This window comes from Homo sapiens, chromosome 5 (assembly GCF_000001405.40).
Source record: "Homo sapiens chromosome 5, GRCh38.p14 Primary Assembly".
In the NCBI taxonomy this organism is placed as follows: Eukaryota; Metazoa; Chordata; class Mammalia; order Primates; family Hominidae; genus Homo; species Homo sapiens.
The window spans coordinates 102,623,114-102,648,304 of NC_000005.10; the positions used below are offsets into that span (position 1 = coordinate 102,623,114).

Here is a 25,191-nt window from a genome sequence, read left to right on the forward strand (position 1 = left end):
ATTTGCTTTAATAGTAATAGAGTGTGAAAAATAAAATATTCACTGATCAAATACAGTAGGAATAGCTGTAAAAATTGTCTAGGTCAAAAAAGAAAAGCAGGATGAGTTTGAACCTCACCAAAATAACTCTCTCTAGATCTCTCTCTCTCTTCCTCTTTGGTTTTTTCACTGTATCTACCTAGAAAACCAAAAGCCCCAGAGGTTACATGAAAAAATATTTTAAACCTCATTCAAATTATTTAATAAGAAAATCCATGCCTCATCAAGGTAATAGGGATGGGTCTATCCGGCATAAAAAGTGCCAGAAGATAGCCAGCTTCCTCCTCCTAGAAAGATTATCACAGTACTGGGCTGAGGGATCTTTGATAAATACATGCGAAATGAAGATTTATTTAGGTGACGTCAAGACTATATATTCAGATAATACCAGGGTATTTGGGCAGGACAAGCAGGAACATTCCTCTGTTTTTAAAAAGGAAACACCTTTTACATCATTAGAAGTGTACATCTCACAGGCAGTTCAGGAACCAGTTTTTCCACATTTATCTTAAATCACATTTGAGGTACTGAATCCTACAAATAAGTATAATTAACATAAAAAGAACACATTTAATGACATTTTAAATAAAAAACAGCATTGAAATCTGAGGCTTAGCCAGATGCCTACTTAAAATTGACTAAACTGTTTCAAACGCTGTGTCTTTAAATTAATTTATGTTGAACACAGTGGGTACCAGAGTCAATTCTGGTTACTATGACAACAGACACTGAAAATTTAAAGATCCAGCAGCAGGCTCAATTCCCTGCAAAGAGGGTTATTTTACATTAAAATTACATACCACTGTAACAGTTTCAATGAAACATGTTAAACAGATATACATGCAAGTCATCTTTTTAAAAGACAATTTAATTAGTGTATATGAGATACAATGCTTATCATTTTAACTTAAATTTCCTCCTAGCTAGATTTAAAGAGTGAATTAGAAACTAAATATCAGAAAGCAAGCAACTAATTATCAAAATGCTACACTAGGGAAGAAGAAAAGATATCTAAACTAATCATGTAATAAATACACCACAGACTATCAGTCTATACTATTTGCTTTGCAAATCTATCCTTGGCTAGTGGGCTAGTTTCATAAGATGGAAACTTAACAGAACAACCACAACAATAGAAGAGGGAACATGCATTCATATGAACACACTGAATTTTTTAGATTAATAAAATGCATAATGATTTCTCTAAAGAGTCCTTTAATAGGCTGTAAAATTACTGGATTTGAAAATGATTGTGTTTTGTTTTATTCCAATACAGTTTTTATGGGGTCAAGGCTCATCAATTCTACCAAATAAATATACTGACTCATGTAGACCAAAAAGCAGTCACCCTGTGTATATAAACCGAGTGAAGGGAAACGAGGTGTGAGGGGCTGTCAATTAGTGCATGCCAAAGAGGAGAGGAAGGTAGAGGCCTCCCGAAGTGGCACTCCTCCCTGTCTCTCCTTGCATTCAAGCACGAAGGGCAAGGGAAATGCCTGCTTGGTTCTGACTTAATGCACATCATGATAGCAGTTTCCCAATCGGTCTTTAAAAACACTCACGTGCACACACTTTTCAGGACAGGCCATTTTCCTGTTGTTTAGTCTGCTAAAGTGTAACATCAGTCTTGATCTGGTTCATCTTGAGATATTGATTAAAATTGGTACCGTACATTATGTCTCTGATATATGTCCCTGAATAAGGTTAACTTCATTCAAAATAGAGAGATTTCCTTTTTGTATTCATCTTATAACTCTCAAATTAGATTCTTGAATCAAATTTCATTTTTACAAACCCTTGTTTGAAAGAAAAACGGGAGGTAGGGAAGACTAGAAAGAATTATTTTCCTCTCCATAAGTGGGTCCCCTATACTAAAGATTTTCCTAACACACAAGAATTGAGTCTATGAAAGATCTCAAGCATCTAAGGGATATTTATTCAGTTTGTTGACTATTTTTAACAGTTTATAAGGATGCTTGAATATTCCACTTTCTTATCTCAATTTTGCTACTTCACAAAGACAAGAATCAAAAAGAAAGAAAACACTACTGGTCTCCAAAATATACAGTGTCCTTGGCATATAGACTATGAAGACAAAAATCAATGAGAATGTCCACATTTCAAATATATTTTAGAGTTGGAAAATCAAACTGTTTTAATATATGAAATCCAATATTGCTTCTCCACTCTGAAATTATAGGACATCAATTATGTTGAAAACATGTTCATCATCAGAATAAATTACTCATGATGTTTCAGAAGAAGAAAAATTTTCTATTAGGAAAAAAAAACATGGCTCAAAAATCTTTGTTCATGTTATGTAAGTTTTCATTTGTTTCTTTTCAAGTGGTTTGAAAATAAAGAAGCTGCTAAAATCCAGTGGGTAGAGAACTATAAACAAGACACTAATTTTGTATTTTTAAAACTGTGTGTTCATGTAATCTAAATGGAACAGTTTGTTCTATTAAAACCATCCTTCAGTTTGCAAGAGCCCTCTTTAGGTATTTATAGGCCTTCAGATAGGCTCCAACTGTTATAGTTTACAATGACTTTTCACACATTCCTGTTTAACTTATCAGCAACAACATTTATGGATGTGTTACATGGCATAAGAAATTATTTTTATTTAATTTGTATCTCTTAAAAATCATTCAGTGTCCATGTAGAGTAAATAATACACATCTGTTTAACATTACTAATTAAGCATTACAGTCTAACATATATATAGCCTCCCTTTACCCAGTCAAATTTTTAAAAATATATTCAACAACCATCATGAGCAAGGCACTGTAAAAAAAATATAGTCTCATAGAACAGATAAGACTCTCCCAATATGGACCATGCAAACGATGCTGAGAGGAGATAGTAAAAATGCTTTTTACCTGAGTGGGTTACGAAAAACTTTTTGGAAGAGGTACATTTGTTCTAAAGCTTGAATTTGCAGAGTTTACGAGCTTATACAGATGGGAAAGGAAGGACTTTCCAAGAAGTAGAGCCAATATAAACACAGACACAAAGAGAGGATGTGTATGCTCTTCCAAAGATCCTAAAAAGACCTGTTGGTGGATTGAAGCTCTATCCAAGAAAATTTCAAATCCCAGTCTAAAGAATGTGGAATTTGTTATTTAGGCAAGATGATTTTGGAGCAATGAAATGGCAAGGGGTGAGGTGTTCAGTAAAATCCACATGGCAAAAAAAAAAACTGTAGATGGACTGGAGTGGCAAGCCATGAATTGAAGACACAGTATAAAAGGTTTAGTCCAAGTGAGGCTGAAAGGTCTGGACTAGGGCAATAGCAGGATAGCTATGACAAAGAGAGTTTAGAAATATTGCAGAGGGCTGCGCACAGTGGCTCATGCCTATAATCCCAGGACTTCGGGAGGCTGAGGTGGGAGGATCACTTGAGCCCAAGTGGTTGAGGCTGTGGTGAGCTATGATTGCATGCCACGTTATTGCCCTCCAGCCTGGGGAAGAGAGCAAGACCTGGTTGGAAAGAAGGAAGGAAAAGAAATATTGCAGAGGTAGAATGAAGATAATTTGGTAAAGGCCAGTTTGAGGTCCCCATATTTAATGGTTAGGATACTTGATATGTTAAAGAATATGACTATATCAGAGTAGATACTACTAAATCATACTGCATTTTGGAATTGCAGAGCAAATAGTAATGTCTTCATTTTGTGCTAGCTACCGTGATCTTCCTTTTGATTCTTCATGCCCACTCCTCTGCTAACTAAATCGGCAAAAAATGAACTAAGTAGGCAATTGTTAAAGCTTAATAAAATGCAATAAGCAAAATAATCCCTTTAAGTGGTACTTAGTCTCTATAAGATAAAAATGTTATTTTTCTTAGATAGTCTCACCTTCCCCCTTCTTTGCTCTGCAAGTGGTGAATGGGTATATGAGCGAAGAGCTATGGGGACCTTCTTATATGACCTTGTGGTGCTGAGGAACTATAAGGTCCTTATGCTATCTTTTCATCTTCTGGCCTTTGGGCGATGCCCTTGGCTATCTCATTCCTTGGGGTCCTATGGACCTCCAGGACAGAAGCACAGGAACTTTGAAGTTTTTTTTAACTTTTTGATATTCTTGGTTCAAGTAATGCTCCTAGTGATGGCTCCTGGCTATTCTGAGTGCACCTAAACTTCTCCCATAGGTCTATAGGAGGTCTGCCTTTAACACCACTCAGCCCCAGCTCAGGCTGTCCACTCAGCAGCCCTTGCTGAGAAGCCACCTTTCCCCACTGCACAAAACCCCTCTGGAAAGCTTTCAAATTAGACTCTTTTCTACACCACAAGGAAAGCAAGAATAGGCTGGAAAAACTAACCAACAGGATCTGAGTGATGAATCATGCTGGAGACATTCAAATTTATTTGACTGTTAATGTAATCTAGATCAGTATAGGGCAGTTTGTTAGATGATATAGGAAACATGAGTCATCTGCTATCACTGTAGTATCCTCACTAATATACCTGTCCCTCTCTAGACCAATTCCAAATAAGTGAAAATCTGAGCAGACATCTAAATGTCTCTGCTCCTAGACCTTTTCTCTCTTACTCTTCTCATAGCATTTCAAGGTCAGGAAGAGGCAGCTTTTCATTTATATCTTTTTAATCATAGTCTCCTTCCAGGTTCCATCTGAGCCCCATGATAGGCAAAGGCTGAGACCTCCAGTTTGATTGTTAATATAGCTTATTGACAACATGGTACAAGACATTCTGTTGCTAATGTGGCAACTGAGGGAACCAAAAAAATTTAGAAAATCCTTCCTTAAGACAATAGCCTGGCTTGTAAGAATACTAACTTGCTGTACAATCCTATGTTGCATACCAAAAGCTTAATATTACCTAAATATCTTAATTTCCCAGAGGCAGGGATGCCTCAGGTAAACTAGTTGAAAGACCCCCTATGAGGAAAAATACTGGAAAAGCACATTAATATCTTTCAAAATATTATCCATTTTATAAATGGATCTATGCAATTAGCATTACGTAGTATTTCCAAAATGAATAATTATGGAGACTTCAAAAATGTTCACAATGAATACAATATATGTTACATGAAAGTGGATGCTCCTTTAAGACTAATCAACATTTATGTCTATTCAATACAAAAATTGAATAAGCACAGTGATGCTGTATCTAAGACTAGGTGTGAGAGCAGGAATACAGGGCTTGGTATTTCAGTCAACAGGTTAATGAATTTAGTAAATTTCAATAGTCAATGAATTGGTTGACTCTCTGATATACAAACTGAAGTTACTAAAGCACAAAAAAAAGGTTAGAAAAAGAAACATATAACTTATGTTGATAACACTTGCCTCTGTACCAGTTACTGGTCTTAGATGTAGCCATCAACCAATGACAAATGAGAAACTTGTGGACAACACACCTCAGCTTCCCTAACTCTGAGGTGCACCATCTACACGGCTGCTCAGTTTTCATGAAAATGACTGCCAATTTAGCCACAGTGGTGACTTGCTTGATCACAAACTCTTTTCTGACTTCCTCTTCTTCACTGTCTAACTCGCCCACACCCTTGCTGCTGTTTCCTGGGATGACCTGGAATAAGCCACTTACTCTTGCATCTGTGTCTCACAAAATGTTTCACAGGGAAACAAAATAAAGGCCAGAGCTCTTGACCATGGCTTGCCTTCTTTGTCTGCCTGAGAGGAATCTCTGAAGCCTGGGAGCCCAAATCATACAGAAATTCATGTCTGAAGTATTCTCATGTCTCCTTTTTAATCCTTCAGTTAAAACCAGAATGACAAATTTTCCGTTAATAAAACAGAGTGGGTGTTTTTCCCCTGAGGACTCCCTCTTCCAGTAGTGCAGCTGGCACAAAGATGTCTCAAGCCTCTTTGAGAAGGTCAGTGAGCTCTGACTCAGCCCTGTCCTCCCAGATTTATACTTGGAGCTAGCAGGTTTTTCAGCCCAAACCTGTTTTTATATAGAATAAAAAATTCAACTAAGTAACTAAAAATCTTCACTGTCTATGAATCAAAGGATTTTAAAAGTACCAAGTTCCCAGGAGTCATTAATCCAAACTTCATATTGTCTTCATATTTCTACAAAAAGTAGTATTATCCAGTCTCTTTTTAATCAATAAAACACAAACACTCTCTCAAAATGTTTGTTTGAGCGTTCATCTAAACTGGAAGTCACAGCTCAAACTATGGAACTATGAAGACCTGGTTTCAAATCCTAGCTACAATTCTTGCTGGCAATGACACCAAGCATATTACTTAACCCCTTAGGCCTTCATTTCTTCTTCCCCAAGTTAGAAATAATAAAATACTTAAATTTTACAGTGGCCATTAAGAACAAATGAAATGATTTGTAAAGTCTAATACATAGTAAATGTTTGTGTTAATTTCTTTTTAAAACATCTGGTAATCTTCCTTCTTTCAATGAACATTTATTGAGCATCTGTTTGTTGCTAGACCCTATGATAAATAAAATACAATCTTTCTCCTACCTCCAAGAGCTTATGGTCTATTGGGGAGACAAATATGTGTTTTAAATTTAATAATTAAAATGTATATAATATATTATCTTATGCTCAATATATAATTGCACAAATATGTATTAAAGTGAATAATTATAATAAAAAAATTTTAATACAACAACAGTAAAAGTGCTATCTAAAATTTCTAGGCCACAGTAGTATTCAGATACTTGTGTCTACTTATCCTATATATAGCGGATTACATTTTATAACTTTGTAAATCTTAAGAACCATTCTCTTGCCATTACCAGAGTGTTAATGTTTGGATGGTTGATACTGAAGAAAGTAAGAATGAAAGTGCTGTTCAAGCCCTGGGTCATGGTAAATGTGAGGAGAAAATCGTGTCCATGTAAGGCTTTGTAGTGGTCTAAGAGATATGAATTGCTGTTCACCTTATCATGTCACTTCACTAAAATTACCATCAGTGTCATAAACTGATATCAATTAGCTAAGTGCTTAGGGGTCTGGGAAGTTTAAGATTCTCCTGACAAAAATACCTAGTAACATGTTTTGTTGATCACTGTAGCAAAAAGCTCACCCTGCTTCCTGTCCTACACATTTCTAGCATGTTTTATTCTTGTCTAAGAGAGCATTTTGTGTATGTCTGTCATGTCCTTGACCCAGCTTACCCCAAACCTGTTAATTTCCATAGCTGATGTTCACATACCATTCCTTACATGGGGAGCACACAGCACACACACACACCCTCCCAGACCTTCTCTCACACCCACAGGGATGAGCAGGGTGCCATTGGCCCGTATCATTCACAAGAGGATGAGTCTGTTGATAAAGTGACGCAAGCTCCACCTGCAGATTTGGTGAGGTGTCTAATTAAGGCAAGCAGAGACATAGCTGACACTCATAACTCAACCATAAAGCATTTATCACCTTAATACCTAGGTCTCAGACCTGATTTTTAAACTATTTGTTCCTGATACATCACCAACTTTCTTACAGGAATGATAAAAAGATGTCTCTCCACACGTGGAAGGCCAATCAAGCCTTTATCCAAACCTTGTCCTCTCATCCATGTAAAAGCAAGCTCTTAACTTTATAAGAACCATTTGCCTACAAGACATGCATTTCTTGTAATTATTCTTACTTCTGGAACATTTTCAACCTCCTTAATCTTAACTCTTCAGATATCAGATATATCTTTTGTAAGGTCAAACATAACTTTATTTCTGCTATTTAATAAGCATTATATTTTCTTTTATAAAAAAAGATCAATTCTGCAATTAAACATCAAGCTGACCACTTTTTTTTAATTCTAGAAAAAGCTTTTTTTTTCCATAGGTTATTGGGGTACAGGTGGTGTTTGGTCGCATGAGTAAGTTCTTTAGTGGTGATCTGTGAGATTTTGGTGCGCCCATCACCTGAGCAGTATACACTGCACTCTATTTTATCCCTTGTTTCCCTTCCACCCTTCCCAGAAGTCCCCAAAGTCAATTGTATCTTTCGCAAGCCTTTGAGCGTCTTCATAACTTAGCTCCCACATATCAGTGAGAACATATGATGTTTGATTTTCCATTCCTGAGTTACTTCATTTAGAATAATAGTCTGCAGTCTTATCCAGGTCACTGTAAATGCCACTAATTCATTCCTTTTTATGGCTGAGTAGTATTCCATCATATCTATAACTATATCTATATAGATAAAGATATCACAGTTTCTTTATCCACTCATTGATTAATAGGCATTTGGGTTGGCTCCACAATTTTTCCATTGTGAATTGTGCTGCTATAAACATGCATGTGCAAGTATCTTTTGTGTACAATGACTTCTTTTCCTCTGGGTAGATACCCAGTAGTGGGATTGCTGGATCAAATGGTAGATCTACTTTTAGTTATTTAAGGAATCTCCACACTGTTTTCCACAGTGGTTGTACTAGTTTACATTCCAACCAGCAGTGTAGAAGTGTTCCCTGATCACTACATTCATGCCAACATCTACTATTTTTTGATTTTTTTGATCATGGTCATTCTTGCAGGTATAAAGTGGTATTGTATTGCAGTTTTGATTTGCATTTCCCTGATCATTAGAGATGTTGAGCATTTTTTCATGTTTATTGGCCTATTGGTCATTTGTATATCTTCTTTTGAGAAATGTCTATTCATGTCCTTAGCCCACTTTTTGATAGGATTGTTTGTTTTTTTTTCTTGCTCATTAAATAACCTTCTCCTGAATGATCATTGGGTCAAAAATGAAATCAAGATGGAAATTAAAAAATTATTTGAACTGAATGACAATAGTGACACAACCTATCAAAACCTCTGGGATACATCAAAAGGCGGTGCTAAGAGGAAAGTTCATAGCCCTAAATGCCTACATCAAAAAGACTGAAAGGGCACAAACTGACAATCTAAGATCACACCTCCAGGAACTAGAACAAACCAAACTCAAACCCAGCAGAAGAAAGGAAATAACCAAGATCAGAGCAGAACTAAATGAAATTGAAACAAAAAAATACAAAAGATAAATGAAACAAAAAGCTGGCTCTTTCAAAAGATAAATAAAATTGATAGTCCATTAGCAAGATAAACCAAGAAAAGAAGAGAGAAAATGCAAATAAGAAACGAAATGAGAGATATTACAACTGACACCACAGAAATACCAACGATCATTCAAGGCTACTATGAACACCTTTATGTGCATAAACTAGAAAACCTAGAAGAGATGGATAAATTCCTGGAAAGATACAATTCTTCTAGCTTAAATCAGGAAAAATTAGACATCCTGAACAGACTGATAACAAGCAGCGAGATTGAAATGGTAATTTAAAAATTACCAACAAAACCTTCACCCACTTTTTGATGAGGTTGTTTGATTTTTTCTTGTAAATTTGTTTAAGTTCTTTGTAGATTCTGGATATTTGCCCTTTGTCAGATAGGTAGATTGTGAAAATTTTCTCCCATTTTGTAGGTTGCCTGTTCACTCTGATGGTAGTTTTTTTTTTGCTGTGCAGAAGCTCTTTAGTTTAATTAGATCCCATTTGTCTATTTTGGCTTTTGTTGCCATTGCTTTTGGTGTTTTAGTCATGAAGTCCTTGCCCATGTCTATGTCCTGAATGGTATATGAACAGACACTTCTCAAAAGAAGACATTTATGCAGCCAAAAGACACATGAAGAAATGCTCATCATCACTGGCCATCAGAGAAATGCAAATCAAAACCACAATGAGATACCATCTCACACCAGTCAGAATGGTGATCATTAAAAAGTCAGGAAACAACAGGTGCTGGAGAAGATGTGGAGAAATAGGAAAACTTTTACACTGTTGGTGGGACTGTAAACTAGTTCAACCATTGTGGAAGTCGGTGTGGTGATTCCTCAAGGATCTAGAACTAGAAATACCATTTGACCCAGCCATCCCATTACTGGGTATATATCCAAAGGATTATGAATCATGCTGCTATAAAGACACATGCACATGTATGTTTATTGCGGCACTATTCACAATAGCAAAGACTTGGAACCAATCCAAATGTCCATCAATGATAGACTGGATTAAGAAAATGTGGCACATATACACCATGGAATACTATGCAGCCATAAAAAAGGATGAGTTCATGTCCTTTGTAGGGACATGGATGAAGCTGGAAACCATCATTCTAAGCAAACTATCACAAGGACAGAAAACCAAACACTGCATGTTCTCACTCATAGGTGGGAATTAAACAATGAGAACACTTGGACACAGGATGGGGAACATCACACACTGGGGCCTGTCATGGGGTGGGGGGAGTGGGGAGGGATAGCACTAGGAGATATACCTAATGTAAATGATGAGTTAATTGATGCAGCACACCAACATGGCACATGTATACATATGTAACAAACCTGCACGTTGTGCACATGTACCCTAGAACTTAAAGTATATATATATATGAAATAAAACAGTGTTCAGAGCTCCCTCCCCCCAAAAAAAGCTCCTAAGTTTACTTTCAATTTCTCTCTCAGCTCAGTGGGAAACGTTGTAGCAAGGGCTACAGTCAAAGGATTTTTTGTTAGTTTGTTTGTTTAGATAAAGAAAACCTCTAATCCATGAAAAAAAAATTACCAACAAAAAAAATCCAGGACCAGATGGATTCACAGCAGAATTCTACCATTCAAAGAAGAATTGGTATCAATCCTATTGACATTATTCCACAAAATAGAAGGAGGGAACCCTCCCTAATTCATTGTATGAAGCCAGCATCATCCTAATACCAAAACCGGGGAAGGACATACCCAAAAAAGAAAACTACAGACCGATATCCCTGATATCCTGTTGTTAAGGATGCTAAAATCCTTAACAAAATACTAGCTAACTGAATCCAATAACATATCAAAAGGATAATTCACCATGATCAAGTGGGTTTCATACCAGGAATGCAGGGTTGGTTTAACGTATGCAAGTCAATATATGTAATACACCACATAAACAGAATTAAAAACAAAAATCACATGATCATCTCAATAGATGCAGAGAAAGCATTTGACAAAATCCAGCATCCCTTTATGATTAAAACTTAGCAAACTCAGCATACAAGGGACATATTTCAATCTAATAAAAGCCATCTATGACAAACATGCAGCCAACATAATACTGAATGGGGAAAAGTTGAAAGCATTCCCTGTGAAAACTGGAACAAGACAAAGATGCCCACTCCTCTTCAGTGTAGTACTGGAAGTCCTAGCCAGAGCAATCAGACAAGAGAAAGAAATAAAAGACATCCAAATCAGTAAAGAGGAAGTCATACTGTTACTGTTTGCTCATGACATGATTGTTTACTTCAAAAACCCTAAAGACTTCTCCAGAAAGCTCCTAGAACAGATGAAAGAATTCAGCAAAGTTTCTGCATACGAAATTAATGTACACAAATCAGTAGCTCTTCTATACATCAACAGTGACCAAGAAGAGAATCAAATCAAGTACTCAACTCCTTTTACATCTGCAAAATAAATAAATAAATAAATAAATAAATAAATAAATAAATAAATAAATAAAGTACTTAGGAATATACCTAACCAAGGAGGTGAAAGACCTCTACAAGGAAAACTACAAAACGCTACTGAAAGAAATAGTAGATGACACAAACAAATGGAATTACATCCCATTCTCATGAATGGGTAGAATCAATATTGTGAAAATGACCATACTGCCAAGAGCAATCTACAAAGTCAATGCAACTCCCATCAAAGTACCACCATCATTCTTCACAGAATTAGAAAAAACAATTCTAAAATTCATATGGAACCAAAAAAGAGCCTGCATAGCCCAAGCAAGACTAAGCAAAAATAACAAATCTGGAGGCATCACATTATCTGATTTCAAACTATACTATAAGGCCATAGTCACCAAAACATCACGATATTGGTATAAAAATAGGCATGTAGACCGAAGGAACAGAATAGATAACCCAGAAATAAACCCAAACACTTACAGCCAACTGATCTTTGACAAAGCAAACAAAAACATAAAGTGAAAGGCTAGGTGCGGTGGCACACGCCTGTAATCCCAGCACTCTGGGAGGCCAGGGTGGGCAGATCACTTGAAGTCAGGAGTTCAAAACCAGCCTGGGCAGCATGGTGAAGGTCCATCTCCACCAAAAAAATACAAAAATTAGCTGAGGGTGGTAGCACGTGCCTTTAGTCCCAGCTACTCGGGAGGTTGAGGCAAGAGAACTGCTTGAACCTAGAACGCAGAGGTTGCAGTGAGCTGAGATCACCCCACTGCAATCCAGCCTGGGTGACAGGGTGGCAGAGGGATACTCTGTCTCAAAAAAAAAAAAAAAAAAAAACCACAAAGTAGGGTAAGAACACCCTTTTCAACAAATAGTTCTGGGATTATTGGCTATCCACATGTAGGAGAATGAAACTGGATCCTCATCTCTCACCTTATACAACTCAAGATGGATTAAGGACTTAAATCTAAGACCGGAAACTATAAAAATCCTAGAAGATAATGTTGGAAAAACCCTTCTAGACATTGGCTTAGGCAAGGATTTCCATGACCAAGAGCCCCAAAGCAAATGCAATAAAATAAAGATAACTAGATGGGACTTAATTAAACTAAAGAACTTTTGCACAGCAAAAGGAACAGTCAGCAGAGTAAACAGACAAACCACAGAGTGGGAGAAAATCTTTACAATCTATACATTTGATAAAGGAGTAATATCCAGAATCTACAATGAACTCAAACAAATCAGCTAGAAAAGCTTCTCTTTAATTATTTTGGGAGAAAGTCTTTATGCTTATTAAAAAAAAAACCTTAGGAATTACCTTTTCCAGTATAACTGACTCTTTTCTATCATAAATTCGACCAGTCATTTATTGGCATGAAGAAATGGCAAAAGATCAGAAAGAGGTAGCAAGAGCCAAGGAACCAACACCACTGTTTTGAGTTGTATGTTGTTGTTGTTGTTGTTGTTGTCATTTGGTGTAATCCACAAGGGAGTTAAGAAAACAAAGAGAGCCCTGAGCAAATAAGAGCCAGGAGCTTACCATTTGGAGAACTTCCAGGATGTTCTCCATGGAATCATCTGTGATGCTTCTTCTCACATGTGACTTTCACAGGGTAGTGAAGGAGGTTGAGATACACAATGGATTATCCTAGTTCACTAGTAGAGACAATGTGGAATACACCTGGAAAACTGAGTCACATACATAGAGGAAACGTGATTAACTGAATAATTGAAGGTTATTACTAGCAACTCAATTATAGATGGATAACCTGTGAGAGGCAGCACTGGAAAAAGAAGGCAGGTCATAGAGATTGAGGAAGAGGCTTTTTACTGGTTTCTTTGAAAAGTATATCCCCCCATCTAGACAGCTACTATGACCCAATAGTGGTACCTGCATCGCTTCAACTTCAGAGCTACCTATGCAGTACAAGCCCTTCATTTTACAAATTAGAAAATGGAGGCTCTACTTTCCTAAGATCAAACCACTATTTAGTGGCAGACTTTGATTCAAATGTAAATTTTCTGCCTCTTGTCTCAGTTCTCTTTTTACTCTGCCTTGGCTAAAATACATCCAGAATCTTGATAGTTTTATCATAATCAAGAATAATTACCCTTTCTTATTTAAGTCCATGTTATGTTTCAGGCACTATAAAAGGAGCTTTATCTAGAATATCCCATTTAATTTTGCAATGGTTTAAATGAGATAGATACTGTTTTATCTATATTGCATGAATAAAACAAAGCTTGATGATATTGAATTATGGGCAGCATAAAATCATATGACTAGTAAATGGTAAAACCACCATTTGGATCTATGCCTGTCTAAATTCCACTAGAAGTAAGGGGCAAGTTGTGAAGATTAACTGTGGCCCAAGGATCTACACATGTACCATCTCTTCATCTCCATTACTATGGCCTTAGTTAAGGGTTTTATCCTTGCTTAGACTATTGCAATAGTTTTCTAACCAATCTATTTTCATCTCTTCCTTGCCAGTCCATCTTCTACACTTAAAACAGAATTATATTTTTAAAATCCATAATTCGTTATCAAATTATCCTGTTATTTCTTAGTTCATACAGTTAATAAGCATCAGAGTAAGAATCAGAGACCCTGGACTTCCCTTTAGTTTACTTAGATCTGGGGTTCTTTTCTCTAATCCTCACTAATTAATAAAAATATAATAATTGTTAACAACATAATCATGAAATATAATCACCCTTTATAACACCTTAATCCTAAAGATAGTTCCTGAAATGTTATATAGTTATTAGAAGATGAAGTTATAAGTTTTTTTTTTGTTTCTTGTTGTTTGTTTTTTTTTTGAGACGGAGTCTTGCTCTGTCGCCCAGGCTGGAGTGCAGAGGCACGATCTCAGCCCACTGCAAGCTCCGCCTCCCAGGTTCACGCCATTCTCCTGCCTCAGCTTCCCGAGTAGCTGGGACTACAGGCGCCCGCCACCACGCCCGGCTAATTTTTTGTATTTTTAGTAGAGATGGGGTTTCACCGTGTTAGCCAGGATGGTCTCGATCTCCTGGCCTCGTGATCCACCCGCCTCAGCATCCCAAAGTGCTGGGATTACAGGCGTGAGCCACCGGGCCGGGCCGAAGTTATAAATTTAATCTTACTACACATGACATTAATCCACTGCAAATACCTGGAGAAAAATCAGTGATTAATAGAAAATCCAAATAAGAACAGTACAATGAACAAAAGTTATGGTATAATCTCATTTATAAATATGGACATATAAATGTTAGTAACTTGAAATAAAAAAAATACTTGTGACTAAACTAGGCTTATTCTACAAATGCAAGGATAGTTTAAATTAGAAAACCTAGTATTGTAATTGAACAAATTAACAAATTAAAGAAGCAAAACCCTCTGGTCATCTGAATAGATGAAGAAAAAATGTTTTATGAAATTCAACACCAAATCATGATAAAAATTTTGAGCAAACTTGGACTGGAACAGGGGTAATGTCTTGGGTCTCAATCCTAGAAACCAGACTAGATAAATGAGCGGTGACTAAAACACTAGGGAGAGGTCTGGAGGAAGTTACACAGTGATCATTTTGTTCATGCTCTAAGTAGCCTGTAAAAGGCACTCTTACCTGGTAACAAGACATTAAGAAGGAGGTGAACTTTTTTTGTATTTTCAAATTACCCACTACTTTAAACAAATTATTAAATATTGTCATGTATCCCAGCCCCAGTTTTGTCACCCCGTGAGGCTATACCTTTTTTAATAGTTCTACTGCCCTTTATAAGGCAGTTGTAAACCACCAATGCTTCAGTTTGATATGAATAAACATGAGGCAAAAAGAAAAAGGAGGAAAAGAGATGAGGAAAGCCTATGCTACACACACACACACACACACACACACACGCACACATACACACACACGAGATCATATCAAATACTCTTAATGGGGCAGAGTTACACAAACTACTTTTTGTCACTGCTTACTCATTATTTCAACAGCAACAGCAGCCCAAATCATATAGTTTAATCTTTACTTTTGCCTTCTAACTAATAAATTCCAACATAAAGACCACATCAAAAACCTCAGAAATGTAGTCCCCTTTAGGGAGAAAGAAGAAAAAAACCCACCTGTTTATAGTTACAGAATTATAAACCTCATTGCTAAAAAAATACTTAGGAAATTATGTAAGGAACCATGATAAGATTGATTTAATCTGGGAGATGAAGCACTCATAGCAATTTGGTCATTTTGTTTATGAGCAAATTGTTTACAGAGTCTTTATGTTGCCACGTTATATGATTATGGTGACAACTAGTGGCAATGTCCTAGGTCTTTAAGAATTACACATTAACAGTGTTTGCCTTTAAAGGGCAAGTGATTCGAGACTATAATTGGAATGAATCATAAAATTTTCTCTTTTCCCTTCAAGGAAAAGTGAAATACAAATAGAATCAGTCCTGAATAATCCAAAACAAATGAAAAGAGTCATGATACAGATAGTCCAAAGGCAGGAGGAATGAAAATAACTGGCACTTAACTTTGGAATGTACTATATGTGGTTCCCAGTGTGGACAACAGATTTTTGTGGCAGCCCTATTTATAGAGCACCTGTGGCCAGGCCCTTGGACAAGGAAGTATCTAAGTCAAATAAAATACGGAGACAAATCTCTCAATTTAAAACATTTTATTTGGGAGGCAAGAATTCCAATTTTGGACATACACACAAACCAGGTGGTCTTCAGTATGTCTAAAGAACAAAGAGAAGTTTGGGAGTTTTATTAGAAAGAGAAATGTTACATATTGTTTTGAAGGAAAGCTCATTGGCACTCCAGAAGCTTTGGGAACTGGCAAGCTCTGGTTGGTGAGTGACTGTAATGAATAAAACCAGTCTTAGAGTTACAGCAGGTCATTTCAGCATCTACTAGGTAAGACTGGTTTTAGGGTTATGGAAGGCCTTTTCAGTAGCTAGATTTGGAGGAAATTTAATTCTTAAGGCAAGTGCTATGTGCCCTGAGTGTTTTTATTCCTTCTGGCCTCTCAAGTCTGATTTAGTTGGGTATGATAAAAATAACCCAATTTGTGTAATTAACTTTCACAGAGACAATAATACTAAAGCCAGTTCAGGCAGAATTGTCTTAAGAAGAAAGTCATCTAGAGTGCTTTTTAAATTGTTTGGTATATTTTAAAAGAACAACTAGATTGTAGTTTAAAAGAACAATTAGATTATAGGCATGGCAGAGGCAATAAATTATATACATATTAATTGAGCTTACTTAAGCATGTCAATAAAATGTATCTGGCATCACTTTTAACGTTCCACCAAAAGTACTCTAAAAAAAGTTGGGGGAGAATAAATTAAGCAAAGTAATCGCTCACATTATGGAACATTTCTCATATGACAGGCATTGTGCTAAGCAACAACACTCTTATATGTAGACCCACCAATTACAGAGAGTCGGGCACTTTTGTAAGGAATTTATATGTATCCCTTCATTTAATCCTTGCATAAATCCTGTGAAACAGCTACTATTATCATGCCCATTTTGCAGGTGAGGAAACAGGGGCACAAAGGGGTAAGTTTACCTAAACACTCAGAGCTGGGGAGTGACAGCGTAAAACCCCAGGCGTTTCTTTTTTTTTTTTTTTTTCCTCTTTAGAATCTTTTTTTTTTATTATTATACTTTAAGTTTTAGGGTACATGTGCACAATGTGCAGGTTAGTTACATATGTATACATGTGCCATGCTGGTGTGCTGCATCCATTAACTCATCATTTAGCATTAGGTATATCTCCTAATGCTATCCCAGGCATTTCACCCCCTCATGGGCTTTTTTAACCACTACCACTGTAATGACTCCTGATGTGAGCAAGAGGCAAAGTGCCTGCATTTTATGTTCATTAGATGGTACTTTGTTAGAAATAGTAATCTGGGGGCATACAGGTCAACGTAACACTTTCTGACCACAGAGCAGATGTGCTTCTGGTTCCTTGAGCAAACACTGGCCCACACATCTCTGATATGTATTTTCATATATCTCTAGGACAATTTTGTCCCTTATGTGTGTCCCTTAGAAAGCAGGATGTTCGGTTTTTTGCTCTTGCGATAGTTTACTGAGAATGATGATTTCCAGTTTCATCCATGTCCCTACAAAGGACATGAACTCATCATTTTTTATGGCTGCATAGTATTCCATGGTGTATATGTGCCACATTTTCTTAATCCAGTCTATCATTGTTGCACATTTGGGTTGGTTCCAAGTCTTTGCTATTGTGAATAATGCCACAATAAACATACGTGTGCGTGCACATGTACCCTAAAACTTAAAGTATAATAAAAAAAAATTTAAGAATAAAAATAAAAAATAAAAAAAAATAAAAAAAAAAAAGAAAGCAGGATGTTCAAAAAAAGAATTGTCATCACTCCCTAACAGGCTTCTGACTTGGAACAACACATTTTATTTGATGTATTTCTTAGGCCTACAAGAGGAAGTGGGTGGAGGGGGTGGAGAAACATAGAGAATAGAAACGTACAATGTTTGTCCCCCTAGCAGGAACACCAAATTTTAACACCTATCTACATACTGAAAAGCTCCATCGCGAGAATCACAAATCAGGTGAGCTATCATAGTACCCTGTTTTAACTTCATATTGCTGAAGCAGGCATTGAAGAGGGTAGTAGAGACAGTCTAGAATTGCCAACACCACCCCTTCCCCAACCCCCAGCAGCAGACATGCAGCATGAAGACGGGGGTCTGTGTTCTTGGGGGAGGGAGCATGCATGACTGGGGGACTTTACATTGAATACAGTGCTACCCTGTCATAGTAGAGAGCAAAGCCAGCCTGGGCTTAACTAGCACCTGCACACAGAGGGAACATTTGGACCAGATGAAGCCAGAGGGGACCTTCCATCCCACACATCTGAACTTGAGTTTCTTGGCAGTCTTGCCATCACAAGCCAAAGTGCTCTGGGGTCCTAGGTAAACTTGAAAGGCAGTCTAGGACACAAGGTCTGCAATTCCTAGGCAACTTCTAGTACAGAGGTGGGCTTAAAGCCAGGGAACCAGGATGGCACATGACTTAGAGAGGTACCAGCAGAGGGATTAAGGGGGTGCTTGAGTCCCCCTTTCCAGTCCCTAGCTCATGGATGACATTTGTAGACATATCCTGGGCCAAAAGAGAAACTATTGCCTTGAAGGGAAGGATCCAGTCCTGGCAGGATTCATCACCTGCTGACTAAAGACCCTTCGGCCCGGAATAACCAGCAGCAATACCTAGATGGTACACTATGGGTCTTGGGCTTGGAGGTGTGTTGGCTTCAGGTATGACCCAGCACATTACCAGCTATAATGGCTATGGTGAAAACCTTTTTCTGTTTGAGAAAAGCAGAGGAAAAAGTAAAGAAAACTTTGTCTTGTACCTTAGGTACCAGCTCATCTATACTGTGGTAGAGCAACAAGCAGGCTCTTGGAGTCCCTGAGTCCAGGCCTAGGCTCTTGGACAGCATTTCTGGACCTGCCCTGAGCCAGAGGAGAGCCCACTGCCCTGAAAGATGAGTCCAAGGCCTGGTTGCATTTACCACAACCTGACTGAAGAGCCCTTTGGCTTTAAATGAATATCAGCAATAGTCTTACAGAAACCTCCCCGGGCCAGTGGTGGTGGTGGCCACAGGGAGAGGCTCCACAGTCTGTGGAAAGGGAAGGGAAGAGCAGGAAGGACTTTATATTGTGGTCTGAGTTCCAGTTTACCTACAGTAGAATAGAACATCAGGTAAATTTCTAAGATTTTTGACTCCAATCCCTGGCTCTCAGATAGCATCTCTGTGCCCACCAGGGGCCTAGGGGAATTCACCACCCTAAAGAGATAGACACAAATCTGTCTGGTTTTGCCATTTGCTGATCACAGAACCCTAGCGACTTGTGTGAAGATAGGTTGTAGCCAGGTTGTGGAGGTTACAAGAGGCCTTGGGTGAGACCCCAGTGTTGTGCTGACTTCAGGTCTGACCCAGTGCAGTCCCAGTGGTGATGGCCATGGGGGTGCTTGCATCACCACACCTCCAGTTCCAGAATGCTCAGCACAGACAGAGAGACTCCATTCATTTGGGAGAAAGTAAGGGGAGAAAAAAAAAAAAGAATCTCTGCCTGGTAATCCAGAAAATTCTTCCAGATCTCCTCCAAGACCGCCAAGGCAGTCCTTTATGACTCTGCAAAAACCACAGTGTTATTGAGCTTGGGACCCAAGTCCCTTTGAATACCTGGAAAGCCTCCCCAAGAAGGATAAGCACAAACACCCAACTGTGAAGACTACAATAAGTATCTAAGTCTTCAAAATTCAGATGCTGATGAACATCTACAAGCATCAAGACCATTCAGGAAAACAGAACCTTACCAAACACACTAAATAAGTCACCACGGACCAATCAGCAAGAAACAGAGGTATGTGATCTTTCAGACATAACTCAAAATAGCTGCTTTGAAGAAATTCAAAGAAATTCAATATAACACAGATAAGAAATTCAAAATTCCACCAGATAAATTTAACAATAAGATTGAAATAATTAAAAACAATCAGGCAGATATTCTAGAGCTGAAAAATGCAATTGACATACTGAAGAATGCAGTAGAGTCTCTTAATAGTGGAATGGATCCAGCAGAAGAAAGAATTAGTGAGCTTAAAGATAGGCTATTTGCCTAAAAGAAAAAGGAATGAAAAAGAATGATGCACCCCCACAAGATATAGAAAATAAACTAAAAAGGGCAAATCTAAGAGTTATTGACCTTAAAAAGGAGGTAGAGAAATAAAAAGGGGTAGAAAGTTTATTCACAGTGATAACAGAGAAACCCCCAAAGCTAGAAAGAGATATCATTCCCAAGTACAAGAAAGTTATACAGCACCAAGCAGATTTAACCTGAAGTGGATTGTCTCAAGGCATTTAGTAGTCAAACTCCCAAAGATCAAGGATTAAGAAAGAATCCTAAAAGCAGCAAGAGAAAAGAAACAAATAACAGATAATGGAGCTCCAATACATCTGGCAGCAGACTTTTCAGTGGAAACTTTACAGGAGAAGAGAGAATAACATGACATATTTAAAGTGCTGAAGGAAAAAATCTTTTACCCTATAATAGTACACTCAGTGAAAATATCCTTTAAGCATGAAGGAGAAATAAAGACTTGCCCACACCAAAGCTAAGGGTTGTCAACACCAGAACTCTCCTACTAGAATTATCCTCCTATCTTTAGCATTTCTAGTGGAGTTTTATTAGTTTTCTTTCTGTTTGTTTGTTTAGGCAAGCAGTGTTAAGTTGTTATCAGGTTAAAATAATGGGTTATCAAATAGCATTTGCAAGACGCATGGTAATCTCAAATCAAAAAAACACACAATGGATACAAAAAAATAAAAATCAAGAAATTAAATCATACCACCAGAGAAAATCACGTTTACTAAAAGGAAGACAGGAAGGAAAGAAAGAAGAAAGAGAAAAATCACAAAACAGACAAAAAACAAATGACAAAATGGCAGGTGTAAACTTCTACTGATCAATAATAACATTGAATGGAAACGCTACAATGAAACAACAGAATGGTTGGATAGATTTAAAAAAAAAAAACCAATGATCTGTTGCCTACAAGAAACACACTTCACTTATAAAGATACATATAGACTGTAAATAAAAGGATGGAAAAAGATATCTTTCTCTTTATTTACAGTCTATATGTATCTTTATAAATGAAGTGTAATTCGATGTAATGAAAACCAAAAAAAAGCAAAAGTCACTCTTTTTATTCCATTACATAATTCAACATAACAAAAATCAAAAAAGAGCAGGAGTATATAAATATATATATACATATATATGTATTACTTATATCAGACAAAATAGATTTCAAGATAAAAGCTATAAGAAGTGACAAAGAAGGTCACTATATAATTATAAAGAGGCCAATTCAGCAAGAGGATATGATGATTTTAAATATATATGCATCCAACACTGGAGCACCCAGATTTATAAAGCAAATATTGTTAGAGAGAAAGAGAGAAATAGAACTCAATCAAATAATCGCTGGAGACTTTAACATCCCACTTTCAGCATGGGAAAAATCTCTCAGACAGAAAATCAACAAAGAAACATCAAATTTAATTTGCACTACAGAACAAATGGATCTAATAGAAATTCACAGAACCTTTCATCCAATAGCTGCAGAAAACACATTCCTTTTCTCAACACATAGATCATTCCCAAGGCTAGACCATATGTTAGGTCACAAAACAAGTCTTAAAACATTTTTTTAAAAAAATTTAAATCATATCAAGAATCTTCTCTGACCACAATGGAATAAAAGTAGATATCAATAACAAGAGAAATTTTGGAAAATATACAAACATATGGAAATTAAACAATATGCTCCTAAATGACCAGTGGGTCAATGAAGAAATTAAAAAGGAAACTGAAAAATTATTGAAACAAATGATAATGGAAACAACATACCAAAATTTATGGGATGCAGCAATAGCAGTACTAAGAGAGAAATGTATAGCCACAAGTGCGTACATCAGAAAAGAAGAAAACCTTTGAATAAATAACCTAACCATGCATCTTAAAGAACTAGAAAAGCAAGAATAAATCAAACTCAAATTAGTGGAAGAAAAGAAATAATAAAAAGCATAGCAGAAATTAATGAATTTGAAATTTAAAAAACAGTACAAAAGATCAATGAAACAAAAAGATGGGTTTTTTGAAAAGATAAACAAAATTGACAAACCTTTTGCCAGACTGATAAAAAATGAGAAGATCCCAATAAATAAAATCAGAGATGAAATGGGAGACATTACAACTAATATCATAGAAATGCAAAGGATCATTAGTGACAACTATGAGCAAATAGGTGTCAATAAACTCGAAAATTTAGAGGAAATGAATAAATATCTGAAAATATAAAACCTACCAAGGTTGACTCATAAAGAAATCCAACACATAAACAGACCAATAGCAAGTAATGAGATTGAAGCTGTAATAAAAAAGTCTTGCAGTAAAGAAAAGCTTGGGATCCTATGGCTTCACTGCTGAATTCTACCAAAAACTTAAAGAAGAACTAATACTAATCTTACTCAAACTACTCCAAAAAATAGAGGAGGAGGGAATACTTACAAACTCATTCTATGAGGCCAGTATTACCCTGATACCAAAACCAGACAAAGACACATCAAAAAAAGAAAACTACAGGCCAGTATCTCTTATGAATATTGATGCAAAAAAAAAAATCCTCAACAAAATACTAGCAAGCAGAATTCAACAACAAATTTAAAAGATCATTCATTATGACCAAGTGGGAGTTATCCCAGGGTTGCAAGGATGCTTCAATATATGTAAATCAATGAATGTGATACATCATATCAACACAATGAAAATAAAATCTATATGATCATTTTAATTGATGTAAAAAAGCATTTGACAAAATGTGACATCCCTTCATGATAAAAACCCTTAAAAATTGGTAGAGAAAGAGCATACCTTAACATAATAAAAGCCATATATGACAGACCCACAGCTAATATCATACCAAATGGGGAAAAACTGAAAGCCTTTCCTCTAAAATCTAGAACATGACAAGGATGCCCATTTTCACCACTGTTATTCAATATAGTATTAGAAGTCCTAGCTACAGCAATCAGACAAGAGAAAGATATAAAGGGATTCCAAACTAGAAAAAAAGTCATCAAATTATCCCTGTCTGCAGATGATATGATCTTAGTTGGACAAACCTGAAGACGCTACAAGAAAACTATTAGAACTGATAAACGAATTCAGTAATGTTGCAGAATAGAAAATCAACATACAAAAATCAGTAGCATTTCTATATGCCAACAATGAACAAACTGAAAAAGAAATTTAAAAAGTAGTTTCATTTATAGTAGCCACAGATAAAATAAATACCTAGGAATTAATCAAAGAAGTGGAAATTTTCTACAATAAAAACTATAAGACAGTTATGAAAGAAATTGAAGAGGACACCAAAAATGGAAAGATATTCCATGTTCATGATTGGAAGGTTCGATACTGTTAAAATGTCCATGCTACCCAAAGCAATCTAAAGATTCAATGTGATCCCTATCAAAATATCAAAGACAGTCTTCAGATAATATGGAACCATAAAAGACCCAGAATAGCCAAAGCCATCCTAAGCAAAAAGAACAAAATTGGAGAATCATATTACTTGACTTCAAAATATACTACAGAGCTATAGTAACCCAAACAGAGTGGTATTGGGATAAAAACAGACACATAGATCAATAGAACAGAATAGAGAATCCAAAAACAAATCCACTCACTTACAGTGAACTCATTTTCAACAAAGATGTCAAGAACACACACTGGGGAAACAACAGAATCTCCAATAAATGGTGCTGGGAAAACTGGATATCCATATGCAGAAGAATGAAATGAGGCCCCTATCTCTCATCATATACAAAAGTCAAATCAAAATGGATTGAAGGCTTAAATCTAAGACCTCAAACTGTGAAACTGCTCCAAGAAAACATTTGGGAAAATTCTCCAGTACATTGGTATGGGCAAAGATTTCTTGAGAAATACCCTTATAAGCACAGACAACCAAATCAAGAATGGACAAACAAGACCACATCAAGTTAAAAAGCTTCTGCACAGCAAAAGGAAACAATCAACAAAGTGAAGAGACAATCCACAGAATGGAAGAAAATATTTTCAAACTACCTATCTAACAAAAGATTAATAATCAGAATATGTAAGTAGCTCAAACAACTCTATAGGAAAAAATGTAATCATCCAATTAAAAAATGGGCAAAAGGGCTGGGTGTGGTGGCTCATGCCTCTAATCCCAGCACTTTGGGAGGCCAAGGCAGGTGGATCTCTTGAGGTCAGGAGTTTGAGACCAGCCTGGCCAACATGGCAAAACCCTGTCTCTACTAAAAATACAAAATAGCAGGGCGTGGTGGCATGCACCTGTAATCCCAGCTACTCGAGAGGCTGAGGCAGGAGAATCACTTAAACCCAGGAGGTGGAGGTTGCAGTAAGCCAAGATTGAGCCACTGCACTCCAGCCTGGGCAACAGAGCAAGACTCTGTCTCCAAAAAAAAAAAAAAAGAAAAAATGAAAAAAAATGGGCAAAAGATTTGAATAGACATTTTTCAAAAGAAGACACACAAATGGCAAACAGGTCTATGAAAATGTGCTCAACATCACTGATCATCAGAGAAATGCAAATCAAAACTACAATGAGATATCATTTCACCCTCGTTATTAAAATGGCTTATATCCAAAAGGCAAGCAATAACAAATGCTGGCAAACGTGTGGAGAAAAGGAAACCCTCAGACGCTGTTGGTGGGAATGTAAATTAGTACAACCACTACGGAGAACAGGTTAGAGGTTCCTCAAAAAACTAAAAATAGAGGTACCATATGATCCAGCAATCCCACTGCTGGATCCCACCAAAGATAAAAAAAAAATCAATATATCGAGGAGACATCTGTACTCCTATGTTTATTGCAGCTCTGTTCACAACAGCCAAGCTTTGGAAGCAACCTAAGTGTCCATCAATAGGTGAATGGACAAAGAGAATGTGGTACTTACACACCATGGAGTACTACTCATCCGTAAAAAAAGAACAAGATTCAGTCACTTGCCACAACATAGATGAAACTGAAGTTCATTACGTGAAGAGAAATAAGCCAGGCACAGAAAGACAA

General features: G+C 36.7%; 1 long non-coding RNA gene across 4 annotated transcripts in view; it reads right to left on the reverse strand.

The window, feature by feature from the left end:
- The window catches only part of LINC00491 (long intergenic non-protein coding RNA 491), a 62,973-nt gene that overhangs the window by 14,622 nt on the left and 23,160 nt on the right, over positions 1-25,191 (reverse strand). The window contains exon 2 of one of the 4 annotated variants that reach the window (NR_103753.1): positions 13,030-13,178. The exons of the other annotated variants lie outside the window; for them this stretch is intronic. This is a non-coding gene — a long non-coding RNA (long intergenic non-protein coding RNA 491). The remainder of the gene's footprint in view (positions 1-13,029; positions 13,179-25,191) is intronic. 4 annotated transcript variants of the gene reach the window in all.